This window comes from Homo sapiens, chromosome 1, assembly GCF_000001405.40.
Source record: "Homo sapiens chromosome 1, GRCh38.p14 Primary Assembly".
Taxonomy (NCBI): Eukaryota; Metazoa; Chordata; class Mammalia; order Primates; family Hominidae; genus Homo; species Homo sapiens.
The window spans coordinates 94,100,298-94,121,919 of record NC_000001.11 but is presented as its reverse complement, the minus strand read 5'-3'; the positions used below and the strand labels follow the sequence as shown (position 1 = coordinate 94,121,919).

The 21,622-nt window shown below is 49.6% G+C and overlaps 1 protein-coding gene across 2 annotated transcripts in view, besides 4 other annotated features; it reads left to right on the top strand.

Annotated features, from left to right (window-relative positions):
- Nucleotides 772–21,622, top strand: part of ABCA4 (ATP binding cassette subfamily A member 4) — a 128,315-nt gene continuing 107,464 nt past the window's right edge. For both annotated transcript variants that reach the window (NM_001425324.1, NM_000350.3), the window contains exons 1-5: nt 772–940; nt 8,854–8,947; nt 10,341–10,482; nt 13,204–13,343; nt 18,778–18,905. In NM_001425324.1, coding sequence (NP_001412253.1) covers nt 875–940; nt 8,854–8,947; nt 10,341–10,482; nt 13,204–13,343; nt 18,778–18,905 — 570 coding nt within the window. In that variant the 5' untranslated portion in view covers nt 772–874. The remainder of the gene's footprint in view (nt 941–8,853; nt 8,948–10,340; nt 10,483–13,203; nt 13,344–18,777; nt 18,906–21,622) is intronic.
- Nucleotides 7,698–8,680: an enhancer, noted in NCBI's record as "OCT4-NANOG-H3K27ac-H3K4me1 hESC enhancer chr1:94578796-94579778 (GRCh37/hg19 assembly coordinates)". NCBI's record gives its function as "activates a minimal SCP1, AML or CMV promoter by ChIP-STARR-seq in naive H9 embryonic stem cells {active_cell/tissue: H9 hESC(naive)}" and the evidence as "EXISTENCE:reporter gene assay evidence [ECO:0000049][PMID:30033119]".
- Nucleotides 14,416–14,915: an enhancer, noted in NCBI's record as "H3K4me1 hESC enhancer chr1:94572561-94573060 (GRCh37/hg19 assembly coordinates)". NCBI's record gives its function as "activates a minimal SCP1, AML or CMV promoter by ChIP-STARR-seq in primed H9 embryonic stem cells {active_cell/tissue: H9 hESC(primed)}" and the evidence as "EXISTENCE:reporter gene assay evidence [ECO:0000049][PMID:30033119]".
- Nucleotides 14,916–15,417: an enhancer, noted in NCBI's record as "H3K4me1 hESC enhancer chr1:94572059-94572560 (GRCh37/hg19 assembly coordinates)". NCBI's record gives its function as "activates a minimal SCP1, AML or CMV promoter by ChIP-STARR-seq in primed H9 embryonic stem cells {active_cell/tissue: H9 hESC(primed)}" and the evidence as "EXISTENCE:reporter gene assay evidence [ECO:0000049][PMID:30033119]".
- Nucleotides 20,029–20,529: an enhancer, noted in NCBI's record as "H3K4me1 hESC enhancer chr1:94566947-94567447 (GRCh37/hg19 assembly coordinates)". NCBI's record gives its function as "activates a minimal SCP1, AML or CMV promoter by ChIP-STARR-seq in primed H9 embryonic stem cells {active_cell/tissue: H9 hESC(primed)}" and the evidence as "EXISTENCE:reporter gene assay evidence [ECO:0000049][PMID:30033119]".

Genomic DNA, 21,622 nt, shown 5'->3' with positions numbered 1-21,622 from the left:
GAGACAAAAAGTTCCACTGCGAAGTGCCAGGGAGGCTTCTGTTTGGGGTGTCCCTTGGGATCACAGATCCCCCACCTGGTGATGAGTCAACCCAGCACCACCCCATTGCAGGGCTGGAATGACAGTAATGGGCCCACCTGCTGCCTCTCCTCATACCCGCACCCCAGTCAGACATTGCAAGTCAGTCACGGCTCTGTCCTGCTGGGCCTGGAGTGTTCCAGTGCCTTTTCCATCACAGCACCAAGCAGCCACTACTAGTCGATCAATTTCAGCACAAGAGATAAACATCATTACCCTCTGCTAAGCTCAGAGATAACCCAACTAGCTGACCATAATGACTTCAGTCATTACGGAGCAAGATAAAAGACTAAAAGAGGGAGGGATCACTTCAGATCTGCCGAGTGAGTCGATTGGACTTAAAGGGCCAGTCAAACCCTGACTGCCGGCTCATGGCAGGCTCTTGCCGAGGACAAATGCCCAGCCTATATTTATGCAAAGAGATTTTGTTCCAAACTTAAGGTCAAAGATACCTAAAGACATCCCCCTCAGGAACCCCTCTCATGGAGGAGAGTGCCTGAGGGTCTTGGTTTCCCATTGCATCCCCCACCTCAATTTCCCTGGTGCCCAGCCACTTGTGTCTTTAGGGTTCTCTTTCTCTCCATAAAAGGGAGCCAACACAGTGTCGGCCTCCTCTCCCCAACTAAGGGCTTATGTGTAATTAAAAGGGATTATGCTTTGAAGGGGAAAAGTAGCCTTTAATCACCAGGAGAAGGACACAGCGTCCGGAGCCAGAGGCGCTCTTAACGGCGTTTATGTCCTTTGCTGTCTGAGGGGCCTCAGCTCTGACCAATCTGGTCTTCGTGTGGTCATTAGCATGGGCTTCGTGAGACAGATACAGCTTTTGCTCTGGAAGAACTGGACCCTGCGGAAAAGGCAAAAGGTAACAGTTACTGTCTGTGGTTTAAAAATGAGGTGTGGAGCAAATAAACAGGTTGGAAGTGTGGGGTGGGGTGGTGGGGTAGGGTGGTGGGGCAGGGTGGGGGGTTGTGAGCAGTCAGTGGGCTTGTCGCCGATTAGCACTGAAGCAGTGTTTAGCTGGACGGCCTTTCTGTGGGCCCCTCTGACAGTGCCCTTCCCAGGAAGATGTGTTTCTCTGTCCTCAGCCACATGAAAATCTTTTGCCTACCGTGCCTGTCAATCCATTGCCTGCCCGCCCCTCCCCCACCCCCCGTTTTACACCTGCCTGTCCAGTCTACCGCTCTCTAGGGCATCCACGCTGAGCAGTGGGAAGAACTTTAAGCCCTGAAGAGCAGGCCAAAGGCAAGCAAGAACCCCCTCGAACAGCTTCCCAGCTTAGTGAGGCCTTATTTCATTGATTCTCTGAGGCACATTGTTTTTTCACATGTTAGCATTTCTGAAATTGGGATGCAGCTCACGATCAAGTCACAGTTTAACTGGACACATTATTTTTCTTTCTTAGTGGTGCAGAAAAGTAACAGTGTGTCTTACAATTGACTGCGTCCTAGATTCTGTGAGATGCAATACGTTATTAACCATCACGCACATTTCCTGAACTCTTTCAATGAGCAGACACCAGCCTGGGTTAGACTGGAGCCCTAAAAGCACGACACAGATTCCACCCTGGACTGGCTTCTGTTCTGCCTGGGAAAACCCAAAGTACGTTTGGAGACCAAGAGCAACATAAAGTAGCATAGGTGGAATAGTCCATGAGAAGTGCGAGCAAAAGGTGCCGGAGATCAGAGAACACCAAGACTGTACTTGTAAATGACAACTGGCTTTGTGCAATTTTTTCTGGGAAAGGATAAGGAGTGACTATAGAACTGTAAAGAAAGAATGCACTTTGCTACAGCCTTGCAGAGTTGTGCAAATGCCGATGACTAAAGGAGCTGAAAGAGGAAGGAGGGGATAAGGGATGGGGGCTGGGTAGGGGTGAGATTAGGACCCTGGGAGCTGCAAGCCACTGGAGAGATCAGGAGGAAAGGGAGGGAGACCTGCTTTAGGCGAGAAGAGAACAGTATTTGTTCCAAATCTCGGTTCAGAATAAGTTCATGTAGGTGATGGGGCCAACTGGAACAGGTGAAGGCCTATGAATGAGTGTCTCAGTTAGGGTCTCCTTAGAGTTTAATATGAAAAGGTGTTAGCTAAGTACAGAGCTGGTACCTGAGAGAGTAAAAGGAAACTCTAAGGTATCATGGAGGTAGCAATTGCAGGACACAGCTCCCACCCCTAGGGCTGAGAGAACCAAGGGAAGAGACAGGAATTATTAAGACTTGGAGCATAGATGAGAGGTCTGTGGAGCTGACATTAGGACTTGGGAGGAAGGCGTGCATGGAGGCTGCTGCTGGATCTCTGAACCTGACCTCGGGTCTGGACCCCTGAGGAGAAAGCCCTGGCAGGTTGGTGCATGTGGGGCCGAGGGACAATAGCTTAACAACCAGCATAAAAGAGAGCAGCATGGGACACGCTTCAACCATGCGCATGGATGGCTCCAAAACCTGTGTGTGGCTGGCCCAGGACGCAGGGAGGCTGCAGGGGGAAGAGACAAGTTAAACCTGACTTGTCTGGGAAGCACCATTGTCCTCAGGTCACTTTCCTCTGTCAAGCCTGGTGCTGAAGTTATCTGTTGTCTCCAGGGGCCAAGTATTAAGAGTAATCAGAAACTCAGTCCTTTCTTCTAGGAGCTTCCCTTCTTGCATGAAAATCCTGATAAAACTGGAAAAAAAAACCTCATGATTAAATTTTTTCATGTATTCATTCTTTCCTTCTATCAAAAAATAATCTCCAGGCACCGTGCTAGGTTCATTGGTATACAATGGCAACAAGACCTCCCAGCCCCTGCCTATGTGAGGCATCTGTGGACTGCGGAGGAAAATCCAATATGCCATTGTTCTCTCTTTCCCATAAGAAATTACAATTCTCAGTTCATTTTATTCTCACTGTGCTCTTTGTGACCCTCAAAGGGGGTCACATGATAACAGGACTGTAGCTGCTGGCCTAAAATGAGCCCATTCCTGTGGCGCTCATGTCGCTGTGACAGAGAATAACCCTGTTTTCAGAATGCTCTGGTGCCCTCCCTCTCAATCTGGCCTTTCGCTGGCATGGGTGGGCGACTCCTGCTCAGGGACTCTGCCTTCTCCACAGTGTGCTCCCAGGGAGATGGAGCCACTCGGGCTGAGGGCCTTGGCCAGGGCACCTCCCAGGGCTGGGCCTGGTCTGGGCTGGCGTTCACTGGATGCCATCCTGATGGCCTGGAAATTGAGATTTCTGTCTGGCACGCCTCCCGATGGCTCCCCACCTGCTACCACATTCCAGGAGCTTCCAGGATGTCTGGGTAAGACAGAGGCACCCCCAACAGATTCAGTAGCTCTGAGAGGGATCTGTGGCTCCTTCCTAAGCTTGCGGTTCTTCTGGAAACTTCTGCCTCTAGAAGATGGTCCCTCTAAGAAAAGTACAACCACCCAGCCCATAATTCAGCTCCCAGGTTTTCCCTCAAACCTCCATGTCTCCTGTAAGCAGAGCAAGAGTAAAATCAGATACCAAATTTCCTCATTCCTCAGCTCCCAATCCCTAAGGGCATAAGATGAAAATCTTCAGATCTCTGCTTTCCTCCCTCTTTTTTTCTTCCTCTGTTAACATTTGTCAAGTGTTACTAAGTGTCTGGCACTGTACTAAGTGCATCACCTCCCTGAACTCTCCGAACAGTTCCACGAGAGAGGCCTCTCTGTGATCCCCCCGGTACTGATGAGGTCACTGAGGCTCCAGAGAAGGATTAGTAACTGGTGGGGTTGGACCTGGGATTCACACCCATGCTGCGTGACCCAGGACAGGCAGGCATGGCCGTTACACCACACTGACCCCCGTGGATCGAGATCTATCCAATAGTCTGGTCACTGATATCACTAAGATAGAGTGGCCATATAATTTATCATCCAATCAGGGCAGTTTTGCAAGTGAAAGGGAGCACTATTAATAATTGCACTGGGACAATAAATGTAAACCAACACTGGACCTGGAAAACTGGGACGTGTGTTTGCCCTATACCAAGGTAAGCTAGACACAGCCACTGCCTTCATGGAGTTCAGAACCAGGCAGGGGCGGCTCCCACGTATAATTACTGTGCAGCACAACGTGGAGACCGTGGAGTAGAAGGAAACACGGATGGGAGGTGAGGAGGAGGTCTGTGAGCTCAGAGGAGGCACCGGGGCTGGAGAGGGTGAGAGAAGACTTCCCAAGGAGTTCATCCTGATAACGTGCATTCCCAATGACGAGCGCTCTCTCCACTGCACAAGACAAGTATACATCTGCCCGTGTTGGCTGTGGACCTGGCGCTGTGTCAGGGAGGGTTTATGAAGATCACTAGGTGGGTCTCTTGGTGTCATCCCTTCATCCCAGCTTCTGGGTTAGGATGGATATCTGTGGGGGGGCCTGAGGACTCATGAAAGTGGGGCGCTAATCATGTTTTGGACACCACACCCTGGAGCACCTGGGACAGCTGTGGCCTTTGTCCTGGGTTCAGCATCAAGCCGAGGATGTGGCAAGTAAAGAGAGGCTGGGCACCAACTCCAGTGTACCCAGGCTCCGGGTCATGTTTGTCCAGGCTAAGAATTCTGTCCTGGTTCTCAGTGCAGAAGGAAGAATCATGGGGCTCATTTTAGGCCTTGGCTGCCTTCTGTTAAATTGAAAACAGAGCAGGAAGGAAGAAAATTTAACAGGCTCAGTTCTAAAACAACAAGCACAACTGTGCCCTTGCCAGAAACCCCTCCTCCCCATGTTGATTGAATGGTAAAGAGAGGAGGGGAGGTGAGAGGGAGAGAGAGAGAGAGGAAGAGAGAGAGAAAGGAAAGAAAGGAAAGAAGAAGAAAGAAAGAAAAGGAAAGAAAGAAAGAAAGAAAGAAAGAAAGAAAGAAAGAAAGAAAGAAAGAAAGAAAGAGAAAGAAAGAAAGGAGGGAGGGAGGGAAGGGGAAAAGAAAAGAAAAGAAAAAGAAAAAAAGAAGGAAATACCAGTTTGGGAAAAAAGAATTTTCCACCAGCCCTTCTGAGCCTTGGCTGGGCTTAATTAAAGTTACAGACATGTGTAAAGGGCAGGGTAGGGGGAGTCTGAGCTGCTGAGAAAACATGTTTTTAATTATACTGTGGAATTTCTCCCTGGGGTATGCCTGTACGCAGTTAAGCGTCAAGGACAGGGATGCCGCTCTGGGGAGGGGAAGCTGAGCATGATTTTGGAAGCCGGCAGAAGAGGCTATTGTGAAAACCAGACCTGTCAGGCTAGGAAAAGAATGGCTGGTGGTCTTTGACCAGGGAGTGACGCGTGAAATGCAGCAACCGCCCCCGCCCCCCGCCAAAAACAAACACACTCTCACAGAGTTAGAACAACAGTGACCTCTCAACAAATATTTTTCAAAGATTACCAACCAACCATTACCTAGAGCAGCGGTTCTCAACCTTGGCTGCACGGTGGAACTACCTGAGACGTGTTAAAAAGAAGAACCCTGATGTCCCATGCCCCAAGATTCTGATGTAGTTGATCTGGGGTATGATCTGAGACCCCGGCATGTTTTCAGCCTGCAGCCACATGAGAAGTGCTGACCTAATCAACAGGGGTGATGATTTGAGGGGCGGGGACTATAGGCAAAAAAAAACAGCCTAATTCAAGGATGAGAAGAGGGCACAGGTGAGGTGGGAACAGTCCTAGGGCCAGACAAAGAAGGAAGGGAGAAAGGAGGTGCTGATCCCTCCCCTACTCCTGAGAGGAGGCCTTTAAGTCACCGTGCCTTGTGGAGACCAGATTCTTCAAAAATACAAGAATGAGTGAGTGAGGGAGTGGGTGGATGCCAGGAGAGTGCGTGACAAGCCTTGCAAGGGAGGATGACAATGCACTAGCTTGGTTTGGAAATTTTACCCCTGGAACAGGCAGGCCAAGCTGGCTGGTCCCCTCCCTGATACACAGCCCTCCCTCTTTATATATGGAGCAGGGGACGGTGTGTGGCTGGTTTCTTAGCAAGCACCATGGTTCCAAGTTGGCAACTGGGGAGTTCTGAATCCAAAAAGGAGGGAGATGAACGTAAGTGGAGGGCAGGCCTACAAGGTTGCAGATAAGCTTAATTCTGTCTCCTTACTCTTCTGCCTTTGCAACAACCCTGTGATCTTGCGACAACCCTGTAAGGCAATAACAAATGGCTCATGTTTATTGAGTGTTACCTCATGCCATATTGTGCTTTCGTGTTTAACACAATTGTCTCATTTCACCCTCACGACTGCTCTGGGAGGTAGGTCCTGGTATCACATCCATTTCACAGATGAGACCATTTGGCACGGAAGAGTTGAGTGGGCTGCCCAAGGTCACATAGCTAAGATGGAACAGGCTGGATAGGAACCCCAGTAACTTGACCTCAGAGTAACCTTCTCTTAACCCTGAGTGTACACTGTAGGAAAAATGAGCAGTCCCATTTCAGAGAGGACAAAACTGAGACTCAGAGGTTAAGCAAGCCCCAAAGTGGTTGTTAACCCAGATCTTCCCACTAACTCCCAAATCAGCATCAGTGTTTAACGTACCAGACCTCTCCCAGATAGATGTTGCCGCATGGAAGACAGCCGATCTACGTGATAGAAAGCCAATATTGCAAGCAGTCGTCTAAAGGAGTCAAATGTGTTGGATTTGAACTGGATGTCTCATTTCTTTGGTGAAGACACTGGAAACAACTTCCAGGTTTCATCAATTGCTCCTATCACTCAACGTTGCTATCTTACTGAACTTGTTCCCCAGCCTTACCCACTGATGGAATGATCCAGAATGGAAGACAAGACACCAATGTACATGACCCTGGGGGAGGCTGTTTCTTAAATCTACAGACTGTTGGTGACCTGAGCCCCATGTCACCAAAGGCTTTCCTGGAGAAGCCTCCTAGACCAGTCTTGACAAAGGCTCACTCATTCCGTGGATATTTATTGGGCACCTATTATGAGTTCTGCCCCATGTGGGGTGCTGGAATCACAGTAGTGACAACGACAGATGAGGTTCCTGTCCTCAGGAAGCTTACTGCCCTTGAGGGCTTCACTTACTTGGAGGAGTGATGAACCTGAAGTGCGGTGTGTGTTAAGAAGCGGAAGTCCAGGGCCAGGCGCGGTGGCTCACGCCTGTAATCCCAGCACTTTGGGAGGCTGAGGCAGGCGGATCACCAGGTCAGGAGATCGAGACCATCCTGGCTAACATGGTGAAACCCCGTCTCTACTAAAAATACAAAAAAATTAGCCGGGCATGGTGGTGGGCACCTGCAGTCCCAGCTACTCAGGAGGCTGAGGCAGGAGAGTGGCGTGAACCTGGGAGGCAGAGCTTGCAGTGAGCCAAGATCGTGCCACTGCACTCCAGCCTGGGCAACAGAGTGAGACTCCGTCTCAAAAAGAAAAAAAAAAGTGCCTCACGGAGAGTCTATTCTTTTCTTCCCATATTGTGTGTGTGTGTGCGCGCTTCCTCCAACACATCCTCCCTATATATATTTTGAGTAAAACATCTTGTAAAAAGTTACAGCTACATAATCACCACCTGTCCCTAAATAGTTTTTGCTTTTTCTTTCTTCAATGCACGATCATTTTCCCCCATCAATTTATTTTTTAGTTTCTTATAATCTTGTTGCCAGTAGGCTGTTTTTTAAAAAGCAGAACATGGTTTGTTCTTACTAGCAGGAAAGGAGCATTTATTGAGCCTCTGCTATGGTGTCTTTTATTTTGCTGAGAGCCTATTTACATTTCTTTGAGAGGAAAACAACAAAGGGTTACATGAAAGACCATGTGAATAGCCCCTAGCTGATCTATTAAACTTGCTATTCCCCGGCCAGCTGCTTCAGATCTCCTTCAGATCTTATGTGTTTCCTTCCTAAGGTCCCTGGAGTAAGGGTTGCATAGACCTATTCTACTCTCCAACTCACATGTCCCTCTCCCTCTTCCTCTCCATAATTCCACATCTCCAACCCCCACCCCTATGTGCAATGCCACAGGGTGTGGACTGCCACAGCCACTGGATCTGCTTTTGGAATCAAGAGTCCTTAAGCTCCAAATGGAACCGAAATTTAAATACCAACTTTCAACCATATGTTAACATCAGCAGCCTCTTCCAATGTAAAAACCCATGGCAGTGTGCCCTGCTTTGTTTCTTTAAGCAATAGAAACTTGAAGGAAGCATGTTGGTAGGCCAGATTTTTGTTGGCTTTGCAATGGATCACAGTCATTTATTCACTCATTCATTCACTGATTCATTAAATGACCACATTTGCAAGGGCAAGGTAATGGGGAGGGCCAGAAAGGACACTGGCCCCAGAAACAGGAGGCTGGATTTTGGTTCTGATGCTGCCACTGCTGATGTGACACTGCACAGGTCACCTGCCTCCTCTGAGCCTCTTTCCTTAACTGCAGAGTGAGTGGCTACAGAGAAATCTTTACTACCTGTTAGATCAGCATTACCTGGGAGCTTGTTAGAAATGCAAGCTCTGGTGGGGCCATACTGAACCCAAATCTGCATTCATGTGCATAGTGACAGCTAAAATGCACTGAAGCAGATGATCTTGATGATCCTTTATGAAAGTCTCATGCTAATGCAGTTTTCTAAAATAGAGGCAGAGTGGAACCCAGATGGACACAAAATCTGGTTGATATAATAAAACAAGGTAGAGGGTGTATGGTGGGGAGGGGGTAAAGGAAGGAAACTGTTTAGGTAAAGATACCACAACCAAAGTCCTACTGCACACATGGGATCTGAGGAGGGCTGTGTCTGCTCTGGTTACGTTTTCTATAATCTCTTAGCACCACTGAACTTTCTCTCTTTTTGTTTTGTTTTTCCAGATTCGCTTTGTGGTGGAACTCGTGTGGCCTTTATCTTTATTTCTGGTCTTGATCTGGTTAAGGAATGCCAACCCACTCTACAGCCATCATGAATGTAAGCATAGCAGGGTAGCTTGGGCAAGCCCTGAAGAGACTTTGGTCTGGGCCTTTTGTCTAGAAAGATCTTGGGGTGGGAGTGTGGGGATCAGATCTGCTTATCATCATTTCATGTCTATGATGCATGTAACAGATTTATCAATGTTACACAAATTATAATTTTTAAAAAGTCTTTAGAGACAGGGTCTCACTCTGTTGCCGAGGCTGGAGTACAGTGTTAGGACCATGGCACACTGCAGCTTCTATCTCTTGGGCTCAAGTGATCCTCCTGCCTGGGCTTCCAAAGTGCTGGAATTATAGGCATGAGCCACTGCTCCCAGCTAATTTTTTTGTTTTTTGTGGAGACAGAGTCACTACATTGCCCGGGCTGGTCTTGAACTCCTGGCCTCAAGTGATCCTCCCACCTCAGCGTTCTAAAGCACTGGGATTACAAGCATGAGCCACCTTGTCCAGCCCAAATTTTCATGTTTTAATCCTACACATTCTAAGCAAATACTTGTGTGTAGTTACTAAGGGACTGTGCACTTATTTTTGTTTGCTTTGTTGTTGCTAGTTTTTATTTTTTTATACCTAAACTCTCTCGTTTTAAAGAGAACAGATTTGTAGATGAGTTCTCGAAAATATTTCAGGAATCAATATAGAGAATATGTTATACATGGTGCCAGAGAAAAATGAGGACAAGAGATGCTATACAATCGTACTGAAGAAAAATTTTATTTCTTGGACCCCTGAGGTGTCTGCAGACCTGAAAGGAACCTAGTGAGAGCCTCTTTTACACTCTGCCCCTGTGGGAAAGCCTTCACCTGGTTTCCGGCCCTCTATGTGGTGAATGTGGAAGCCTCAAGCGTTATGCAAATCTGCCCAGTCCTCTATTCTTGATCTTCACCTTCTCGTTCATGAGTTTCAGGCCCCAGTTCTGAATCAGCCTCCTGTCCATCAGACTCTTCTTTACCTCTCCCCGAGGAGCCCATAACCTGCAGCCCTACTGCATGCTTGGGGTAGGTGCTCAGTTCACCGTGGTTGAAGGAATAGACGAGCGTCTGCTCAAGCAGCAGCAGCAACTGCGTGGAGTCTTCTTGAACTAACACTCCTATGCCCCTCTCGGCACAAAATGACGTGTCCCCCCTTGCTTCCCCTTCACATTTCCACCCATGCCTATTACAACATCCGTCTGTCTCCCCACTACACCGGGAGCTTGAGAGAAGAGGCCATGTCTCTAGCACCCAGCACAGGGACTGGCACACATGAGATGCTCCTGCTTCTTAAATGCTGAGAATGAAGGAGGACATCAGAGGGGCCCGGGCCCCTTCCCAAAAAGGCCAACTCCTAGGTCTGCATCCTGCTTGGTCTCCATGACTAATCCCGTCTTGTCCTCATTTTCTGTTTTAAAGGCCATTTCCCCAACAAGGCGATGCCCTCAGCAGGAATGCTGCCGTGGCTCCAGGGGATCTTCTGCAATGTGAACAATCCCTGTTTTCAAAGCCCCACCCCAGGAGAATCTCCTGGAATTGTGTCAAACTATAACAACTCCATGTAAGTGTTGAGATCCCTACCATGCAGGGGAGGAAGTTGCACACCCCTTCACGTGCTGAAATGCACACGTGCGTGCACGGAGCATGGAGCACTGAGTGTTCTTGTGGCTTTGCTGAGCCCCTAACCTCTTAGGAGCAGAGCAGGTTTCCTCTCTGGAACATTCTGTTAACTGTCAGGGCACTTGGGGAGAAATCTCCAAGCTAAGGCCACGTGCACAAAATTTCTTGGTCCTTATATCCCCAGAATGTGACCTGGAGTCTGATGGCAGCCCGCTGCAGAGATGTGTCCACTGCCTTCTGGTCATTGACCTGCTTGGGTGGAGTGAATCATTGTAGGAGAAAAACTCAGTTCCCTCACCCTGATCAACCTGGACAGATCTCTCTTCCTTTAAAAGCTTTCTTGGACATCTAAGGGCTAGGAAAAATGTCAGGGAGCATTGGGAAGGTAAATGAAGTCAGGTTTACAAAGTCAAGTTTACTTCTTGGGAGAAAAATACAATTTCCAAATCCTCTGTTATAATTGCCATCGGCCCCCTGGAGTGGTGAGATCTCGGAATATGGCTCGGGTGCAGTGGCTCTTCACTGTGGGCCTGCAGGCTATTCTGAAAAGCTGATGAAAACCAATGACCCCTCTTCCAAGAAAAATGGCCACATACCAAACATTACACTGTACATCTGATTTCAGGGAATTGTAGATGCCAGGTTAGTAGCCTCAGGTCTAGGGTCAAAATTCAAGTCGAATCCCACAGGAAGAGGGTCTGCCTTCGGAATTCCCTTTCAGAGCATTGGGAGAACATCATGGGAGCATATTCTAGAGACAGAGGCTTAGGGTGTGGACAGGGCCATCCCTCACCCACTGTGCTGACCTTAAGCAGCACCTTGTGCAGCCCATACCTGAAGGCCACCAGCAAAGGCCTGTTGGGGAGCAGGCTTTACCCGACCTGTATAAACACCAGGCTAGGTGAAAACTGAGATACCTGGTTACTTTAGTTTTTTCCTTGGGGGAGCTCAGTATGATTCTTCCAGGAGAAGCCTGCTTTTAGACTAAAAAGAAAAAAAGTTTGATAGGTCAACCTAATGATTGGAGGTGGCCTTCCCCACTGTGAACAAACTATGGCTGCATGTGCCCTACAATGGCAGAGTTGAGTAGTTGTGATAGAGACTGTATGATCTGTAAGCCTGTAATTTTTATGTTTGCTGACCCCTGGATTACCAGATGATAGAAGAGGAAACATCTGTCTTCCTAGCAAAGTCAAGGAAGTGGCATTTAGCAGGACTCATATTGCTGCAAGCACTGCCTTGCAGTTTTAGTTTACAACTGCACTTTCAGCTTAAGAAACACCTGCCCATCCAGAGAGATCGTGTGGGGTCACATGGTGGGATCAGGGAGGCCTGAAGACAGCTCAGTGGAGGCTGCATGGAGCTTTGGTGGGAACGGCCCTGGCAGTGTCTATAGATGTTATTGCGGAAAACTGAGGGGTGGGAGTTGGAGAAGGGGGCTCCAGACTCTAGCTGTACTTGGCATTTGAACCCGGAAAGTTGGGTTTCATGTTTTGCACTCACATTATGAGTGAAATATTGGCTTATTCAAGGTTCTTTTGCTTGCAAGGCACGGAAACCCATTCAAGCAATCTTAAACCCCAGAAGGAAATCTATGATTTGGATACTAGACATTCTCACAGAGCCAAGGGCAGCAAGGCGGGGCTCAGGAGAGGCAGGCCAAGACCTGGAGAGCTGTCAGGAGCTGCTTCCTCAACTCTCTTCCATCTGGGCCTGCCAGCCCTGGCCTCTGTATCTACTCCATTCACCTCTCTCCATGGACCAGTCTCCCCTGCTCCTCAATGCCTGGGCTGCCATTGTTCATGCAATTCACAATACCTCGGCCTGGGCAATCAGAAGCTCATCTCTGAACACCATCCAAATTCCTGGGAACAAATCGGGTTGACCCAGCTTTATTCTCCCTGTCCCATCAGCCTTGGCAGAGGCGTGCATGTGCATGCGTGCCAATGTGTGTGTGCAGGGAGGTCCTTGTGGATGAAGCATGGCTGTCAGAGCCTACCTGCGTGAATGGGTGGAAGGGCAGGTCTCAGAGAATTGGGTAAAAACTGGATAAACCCTCCAGTGATATCCACCAATGTCACCCTGTTTAAGGCTTCTCTGGGCAAGAGACACACAGAGCATGGGACCGAGAGGCGAGCAGACCCTGCCAAAACTGGGAGACTGAATAGATCGCTCACCATCCTTGTCAGTTAGCCTATATGTACAAGGAAGTAAAATTATCTCTTTCTCCTGCCTTGGCAGTATTGTAAGGATACTCAATGTAGTAGCTAGGCCAGACACATAGTATCTTTAAATATAGCATGAGATGGCCAAGCACGGTGGCTCATGCCTGTAATCCCAGCACTTTGGGAGGCTGAGGCGGGTGGATCACGAGGTCAGGAGATCGAGACCATCCTGGCTAACACGATGAAGCCCCGTCTCTACTAAAAATATAAAAAATTAGCTGGGTGTGGTGGCGGGCGCCTGTAGTCCCAGCTACTCGGGAGGCTGAGGCAGGAGAATAGCGTGAACCCGGGGGGCAGAGCTTGCAGTGAGCCGAGATCACGCCACTGCACTCCAGCCTGGGTGACAGAGCGAGATAAAAAAAAAAAATAGCATGAGATATTATTACTGTTATAAAAATAACAGCTATTTCCTTATTAATGAGGCTTTGTCCTTACAGCTTGGCAAGGGTATATCGAGATTTTCAAGAACTCCTCATGAATGCACCAGAGAGCCAGCACCTTGGCCGTATTTGGACAGAGCTACACATCTTGTCCCAATTCATGGACACCCTCCGGACTCACCCGGAGAGAATTGCAGGTAAGCATGACTGCAGTGCTCTCAAGCATCATTTCCCTCACCTATGGAGAGACTGAAGATATAGGAAAGAACAGGGAGAGTTGGTGAAAAATATACTAGCGGAGGCAGGAAGGGATGGGGTCTGGAGGCGGCTTGAACATCACCTTGGTGAAGATGCCTCTTCCTCCACAGAAGCCTGGAAGGTAGGAAGTTGGGAAGGAAGGCAGGAAAGGTCTCATCCACGTTAAGTCTAGAGACAGAAAGAATGCTAAGAGAGATGGCACTATGGGAAGTATGAGGCTAGGTCAAGGGCTAGAAGCAGGGGAGACGAGTTTACAGAGTTTCGTAAAGATATAGAGCAACTCTCACAGAGTTCTAGAGCGAGAGCTAACCAGGAACATGAAGCAGCAAGGCCAACTATCATTAAGGAGCCAGGGAGGTCAGAGATCATGTATTATCATGACATAAATATGCATAATTGTACTATTTCTCCCAGTAATATTTAGCACCCAGGCCCCGAGGCAGAGCAAGTGGAGAGTGGGTGATGCAGGGCTGGGGGTGTGTATGGAGGCACCACAGAAGGTCAACAGGCAGCGGGCTGAAGGCAGGGACTGGACTACATGCATCAAGTCCAGGCTGCACGAGGAAGGATGAGAAGGCAGATGAGCACGGAAATGGACTGGGGGAAATGAAGAGGCAAGGGAATAGAAGTCTCAGTGGGTGCCATGACCCTGTTTAAGTGATTGAGAAAATGAACAAGATGAAAAGGTTAATGGCTGTGGTCAGAAAGTGAAATATGTGAATTCAGGATTTCGAAGGTAGGGTGGGTGATGACTGGCCCCCAGATGCGGCCATGGTGAAGTGGGGCAAAGGTGCAGGTGCATGGTGAGGGGAAGGAGGAAATGGGAGGTGATGATGTTGGCCCCACACGGACACCACGGTTGTGCAGGAAGATGGCAGGAGCTGGGCACCAGGGTGGGAGCCACCTGGAGTCAGGAAGAGTGAAGAGAAAGGATGAAGAGGCTCCCTCTCCTGTGTCTCTCCTCCCCAGGAGAAGAACAAGAAACAATCCGAAAGTAATAACACCAATGTGCCTTTACAAAGTGTGAGTGGGTGTTGTGTGCTGTCACGTGTGTAGTAGGCTCCTCTGTGGATGGCTAGAGGGACTGGACATGGCCACTGGATCCCACTTGCAAGAGCAGAGGAAAAGAGTGGTCGTGAGGAAGTAAAGCCCCCCAAAATCCAGGGGTTGCTGCAGCTTTGGGTGTGGAGCGTGCCCTCTGAGGAAAGGCTGCTCTGGGGGAGATTGCCCAGGAAACGGGGCTCAGAGGCCACGAAAGCAGCTGTTAGGGGCTTCTGGGAGATGTGTGCTCCTAGGATTAGGGAGTTGACTCTAAGGATGACCTTAGAGGTTAACAGGGATGAGAAAGGGGTCACCAAGGGGTCTACCAGGGGAATGGGAGAGGCTGTATTGATAGAACAGCTTCTGCTGCAGGTTCCAAACAAGAAATGTGGGAGAATGGTTGAAATCAGCCCCGGGGGCACCTTCCCGTGCATGCGTGCAGCTCCTTCAACATTCAGTCGACCTTCAGTGCCTCCTGTGAGCCAGGCACTGGGCTAGTCTCTGGGGGTGGAGAGATGAGTCAGGCAAATGCCAGCCCTCAGAGGGCTCACAGGGCAGAAGGTGAGAGATGAGTGAGCAGAAAATGACCACAGCGCGTGTGGGGCCCAGTGGAGGGAAGGAGGGGATTCAGGAGCACAGGAGAGTCAACAGGGGAAACTTCTCCGAGGAGAATCTGATCCTCCTCCCATCTGGCCACCTTCTGAAGCCCTCTCTCCCCATCCAAGTGAGAAAGGACAGGCGTATGACCAGATTGGTGTATGAAGATGCTGAATTACGTTCTCATTGTTTCAAACTAGTAAACCATAGATTTTATGTAGTAACTTCTACAAACTGCATTACAAACACTCCATTCTTTGTTGCCCTGGGTAGAAGTTTATTTTAGTGAGCCCAAGTTTGAGGAACCTTATATGGTATGAGTACAATTACCATTTTAATAGTAAGAAATCCCCCTTCCCCTGTGTACCAACCAGAAGGTGTTTTTTTCCTAATTTAAACAAACAGATGCAGACGTGGGCTGTCCAGCTCCTGGCGGGATGACATACCTCATGCATCCAGTGGGTTTGATGATGAGGCAGACATTTCACTTAAGTGCCTGATCATCAGATTGAGTCCTGCTGGGAGGAAGTGTGAAGGAAGTAATTTCAAACCACAGTTTCTCTGTGGCTTTTACAATGTGGATATGAGAACCAAAATCACTACTTCTTAACCCCAGAGCAGGACTGATTTTGAATTGGTATGCAGGCGGTTCCTTCTGCAGGCTTCGGGCTGTGAGAAGTCCCTAACAGAGCAAATCTGGGGACAAGGGCTCAGGAAAGGTTGGCCACGGCCCCCTAGGAATGGGGGCTCTGCAAGATCCCTGGCCTTAGAGGCTGTGAGAGGGAACAGGGGTCCATCCCCAAGTAAGGGACACGGTCTTTGAGGAAATCCCAGGCCAGGGCCTGAAGGGCACTGTCAGGAACACAGGCTGTTTCAGTCTGTTGAGATTCACCGGGGCGCTGCTCACTGTGAGCACGGACTCCTCAGGCCAATGTGGCAGAAGAGCCCACCTTTGAAAGCGAGCGGGTGGGGGTGGCGGGGCTGGTGCTGGTGCGTGCTTCTGCACAGCCACCTGGGAAGGTATGCCGCTGGTTGACCCAGGCAGAGGTTTTCTTTCATGGCAAACCTGCAGTACTGCATTCTCAGCAGGGAGGATTAATGGTAAAAGACCAGGCATGGAGCCCCCTTCCCTCTCCCTCGAAGCAAGCTCTGTGGTCTCTCAATCATCTTTAAAACACCTTCTTCCCGGGAGCCTCCTACATTCTCCTGGCTTCCCTCCCACCCCCACCCTCAGCTCCTGGGGCCTCAGCAGCCCCACCCCCAAGCCTCTAATCTTCCCAGGGAAGGGAACAAGAAGAACCACATTTTAAACGAAATTTATTTTTCTTTCCTCAGGCTCCCAGTTCACATTTCTCCCTCAGGAGTCTAGGGAAGCTTCTGTCTGGTATCGGCCTCCTCTTCACCTGGGCCCCCGCCCTCCTCAGGTGTACCAGAAGCCAGCACACTCCCCCTTCCCCCCCAGAGCCACAGCAGCCCTGTCTCCTGGGTGGTCTTGTGTGCCAAGCCTGGGCAACATCACTCCCAGCTTTTCTTGTTTTGCCCCTTCTCCCCAGCAAGATATTTGTATGTAAGGTCAGGTGAGTGAGTTAAAGAATAACGAAGAGATAAACAGTCAAATGGAGTCCTGACTGTCAGGTCAAGACAACAGTTATTTACTGAATGCCTCATGTCATTCAACAGACATTTATTGAGACTCTGATTGGATGTCAGTCTTTAATGCTGGGTGTCAGAGAGAGGTGACTTCAAGGGCTTGCATCTGTGCACCCAGCATTGCTAGGTACAATGAGGAGTATAATAAAAGCAGGAGCCATAGCCCCCAACTCTCAAGAGATCTCCCATGTGTGTATGTCTGCATATGCGTGCGTGTGCATGTGTGCGCATGTGTGCATGTGTGTGTGCATGTGTGTGCATGCGTGTGTGTGTGCGTGTGTTGGGGATGGTGTTGGTGGAGTGAGAGTGTACAAGGCTGTGTATGAAGGGGTAATTGGGAAAAGAACAATGGAGCTGGCACCCAGGGACAGGAGGAAAAGCAGGAGGGCTGGGTTTGGAAGACAGCCGGATTTATGTTTTTGAAGAGGGAAGACTAGAATATAAGGGAGCAGCCCTTCTCAGAGCCCTCCTCCTCCCTTCGGGCCCTGTGTCCAGCTTTCCCCAAAGTCCTTGGATCTTTCCTATGCAAAGGGGAGTGACAGTGGGCACCACTCTCAGGGAACCCATTACTGTGAGAGAAGCCACTGTGCCACTGTGTGGTCGAACTTCAAGACCGGCTTCCCCTGCCCCAGCTGCATGGACAGGCCTGTGGGGTTGGCGCAAGACCCTTCCAGAGGAAACTAGCTGCAACATAAATCCGGATATGGTGCTGTTCAGGGAAAGGCACAACCTGGGGATGAGAAGGGTGGCTGTCCAGCACACAGGGGCAGGCCTCTTGGCCACTGGGGGAGGGGAGAATTTGGAGAGGAAGAGGATGGGATGCCGTGGAATTGGGACCAGGAAAGAATGGGGACATGTGATGGTTAAAGCTAGTTAGAGAAGAACTGGGAGATAAACAGTCACCCATGCCCCTGAAGCACTCGGGGTGAAGAGATTGGCATTTTCACGCACCCCAGTGCTTTCCCTTTGTGTTGAAGTCCCTTCGTAGACATCCAGGCCCATAAGGCTCTTCTCTGGCCAGAGCCTCATGAACTATAGCACTAGCAGGGTTGAGGCCAAGCATTGGCCCTGGAAGCCAGCCGAGGAGGAGGGTGCTTGTGTGAATCTCCCAGGAGGGGTAAGAATTATATTAATTCGATCATAATAAGCATTTATTGAGTGCTGTTTTGAGGCCTGGGAGCTAAGCACTTCACATTCCTTACCCCGCATCAACAATCCTATGAGGTAGATGTGGAAAATGCAGACACGGGGACAGGCTCAATCACTTGCCCCAAGGTCACCTTAACTGTTAGGTGTTCTTTATGCCTCCTTATAAAGAAACCCTGCTTCCCACAGGTGTTGAGAGGAGCTGGAGGGAGCTTGACTAGGGCTCATCAGGCAAGCCCCGGCATGTGCCTGGCTCTCCTCTTTCTACCTGGAGCTTTTCCTGCCCTTAATGGCCCCAACTCATTTCTCTTAGTCCATGTCAGTGCCCTGAGCATCTCAGCCCAAGCTGAGATGATAGAAACACCCAGAGGGGTCCTCTACCCTGTGACAGCTGCGGTGTGGGAAGAGCACGTGTCTCCTCCAATCCTAGACCAGAGTTTCTCAGCCTCAGCATCACTGACACTTGGGGCTAGATAATCCTTTGTGTGGGGGAGGGAGGAGTGTCTTGGGCCTTGCAGGATGTTTAGCAGCATCTCTGGCCTCTACCCACCAGCACCTCCCCAGTTGTGACACCCAGAAATGTCTTTAGATCTTGCCAAATATTTCCAGGAGGATGAAATTCCCCTGTTTCAGTTCCCCAGCCCCACCTCAATGAGAAGCACTGTCCTAGACCAACCCCACAAAGCATCTGACACCCCCATCCAGCCCTGGCTAACTTTTTCCACCTTCTTACTAAATTGGGCCCAGCTGCTTCAGCAGTCAATGTGTTGGGGGCAGCCCACTGGCAAGAGCCTCACCTCTAGGGGCTCCCAGAGACCCCAAGAACAGAACCTTCCTCTGAGAGTTGAGTTACAAGTGTTTCCAATCGACTCTGGCTGTTTTCCTTTTTTTGACCCATTTCCCCTTCAACACCCTGTTCTTTCTCTTATTCATATGTAGGAAGAGGAATACGAATAAGGGATATCTTGAAAGATGAAGAAACACTGACACTATTTCTCATTAAAAACATCGGCCTGTCTGACTCAGTGGTCTACCTTCTGATCAACTCTCAAGTCCGTCCAGAGCAGGTAGGGGGATGTCACTGGCCAGTGGTCCCTGGAGGGGAGGGAAGCACCCAGCCTGAGAAAGGCAAGAAATATATTGGCTTTTTTCTTCTTTCTTCCTTGTGTTCACATTCAGAATCCATCACTTAATGCCTTGTATTTAGAAAAAAACCGGGGGATCACTTGAGATCGTGATCATTTTCAACATAGGATTCGAAGCTGTACACATCCTGGTGACCTTAAAACATCTCAGGTTTTTATAACTGGAAGGAACCTTAGAGATCATGGGGCACAACCTTCTCTTTATAGATGAGGAAACAGAAATCTATTCATTTATTACTCAAATATTTAGGGACAGTTGTAGGTACTAGAACACAGTGTGAACCAGACAGGCAAAACCCCAGGCCAGGGAGCTTCCATTCCAGTGGGGCCACAGGCGATGCTCAGGTAAGCAGAGACTCCGCTGTGTGACTTCTGGCTGTGATGGGTGCTGCAAGGAAAATCCGGTAGAGTCGAGGGTTAGAGAGGGACGGAGGGGCAGGTTTAAGGGGGATGCTCAGGAAGGCCTTCCTGAGGAGGTGGTATTTGAGCAGAGTTGTCTGTCAGCCACACAGTAAGTGAGAGGGGAGTTCCGGGCTTGGAAGCTGCCAGCACAGTGCTGGCAAGTGCTGGGGTGGCGTCCCGAGGCTACAGAACCTGAGATGCTGCAGAAGAGCCCACTTCTGCTTTCCTGGACCACTTCCTTCTCAGCACCAGGCAAACTCCTTCTTCTATCCCCTGGCACATTTCTGACCTGTGTATACGCCCCCAATTTATCTAACCCCTTTAAATAATCTCCTCTATTTATGCAGAGCATTCTTACCACTAACTCACGACTTGCACATCCCTTAGCTCCCTTACTCCTCACAACAATCCTGAGATGGGTCAGAGAAGGAGGCTTGCGCGTCTGGTGATGGGGTGATTTGTGCACAGTTACAGGGCTAGAAATTGTCAGAGCCAGATGGAATCCAGGTCCTCTCAATCCTAATCCAGTGTTTCTTACTTCAGTCCTGTGGCTCTCAAAGCCCAGAGACCAGCAGCATCAGCGATGCCTGGGAGCTTGTTAGGAATGCAAATTATCAGGGCCCACTCCAGGTGAACTGGGTCCAAAGCCCTGGGATAAGGCCTAGCAATCTGTGCTTCACAAGCCCTCCAGGTGATTCCGCAGGCTCAGGTGTGAGAGCTGCAGCTGTCCTCTGGGCCTTCTGGGCTCCCCGCCCAGCTTCTTCAGTGTGATGAACACAGCGAGAATGCTAGATCTGCAGCAGCTGATATCCCAGACACCCTCCCGACTCCCTCCTGGCTGGGTCTGATCCTCCTCCAGACTCCAGGAGAGAACGAGACATAAACAGAACTTCAGAGCCTGTGTTAACCCTGAGATCAAGGTCTGCACAGGGTGCTGTCTGAGTCCAGAGGAGTGAGGGACCCCACCCCACCTGGTCAGCACCAGCTCCTGGAAGCAGGTTCTCACACTGGTTCCCTGCACAATGAAGGAGCTCATACCTGCTTTTCTGGCTTCTCAGACCCTGAGGTTTTCACCGAAACTAGACAAGGGGAACCTAGGGTCAGCCTGGAGGCAGGGTGAGCTTGGCGCCTGCAGTGCCCAGGCCCTGGGTGGTGCGGCTCCGGCCAGGCCCTGTTTAGCTTCCTCTCCCACCCCCACAGAGGGGGTGCTGTCGGCACCGATTGCTCATTTTCCCCTTTGCTTTCTCTTCAGCTCGTAAAACTCAAGTCCTGACAATGCCTTGATGACTTCCAGTTGGTAATAAAAGGGAGATGAAGATAAGGACAGGAATTTCGGGGAAATTTCTTTCCAGTTCCTTACTAATGTGACATTTAGATCTCTAGTACTGTGCTTCTGGCATCAGTGCCAAGGCCTTTCATGTTGGAGAATGGAGGCCGGGGTCACCAGGTTGTGCCTTTATTTCATGTTGCTGGCTCTGATGAGCTGATGCTCTGCTGATTAGCAAACGCTGAGCCATCTGCGCTTCGCAGAGGCACGTTCCAGCCAACCCGGCCCTCCCTGCCCACTTCCCAGGATGCTTTGCCTTGTGGGCTCACCTGTCTTCTAGCTCCTGATCTGTATCTCCACCTCCATCCAGTTCCGGGGCTCCTTATCAGCACTGTTCCCAGAACTGTCCATCACGATGGCAACGTTCTCTCTGGGCGCTGTCCAACATGGGAGCTCGCCTCTGTGTTGTCACTCATGCTCATTGAACATGGATTTGTGTCCTTTACCATCAGGACTGGATACCCCTCCTGGTCCTTTCTGCCTGGGGTCTTAGCACAGCTCAGAAGGAACCTCACCATTCCCTCTCTCCATCTAGGGAATTAGAAGATGACAGGGGCACAGTTCTCTGGCTCACCCCCAGCCCAGTAAACTCCTGGACATGCTTCAAGGCCCAGCTCAGATGTTGCCTCCTCAGTGAAATAATTTATAAACCCACCCTTCTTTGTCCTGCCTTCTCCCTCTTCCCTACTCACTGGAGAGTTAACAGGTGATGGTTAAGCTCTGGGTTCAAATCTCACAAGGCCACACACTTAGCTATGTGACTTCAGGCAAGTTAATTAACCACTCTGTGCCTCTCGTTTCCTCATTTGTAAAATGGAAATAGTAAAAGTGCCTACCAGCATGGCAGTTGAAGTTAAAAGAAATAATATATGTGAACACTTGGAAGGGCGCCTGACACATAGTAAACTCT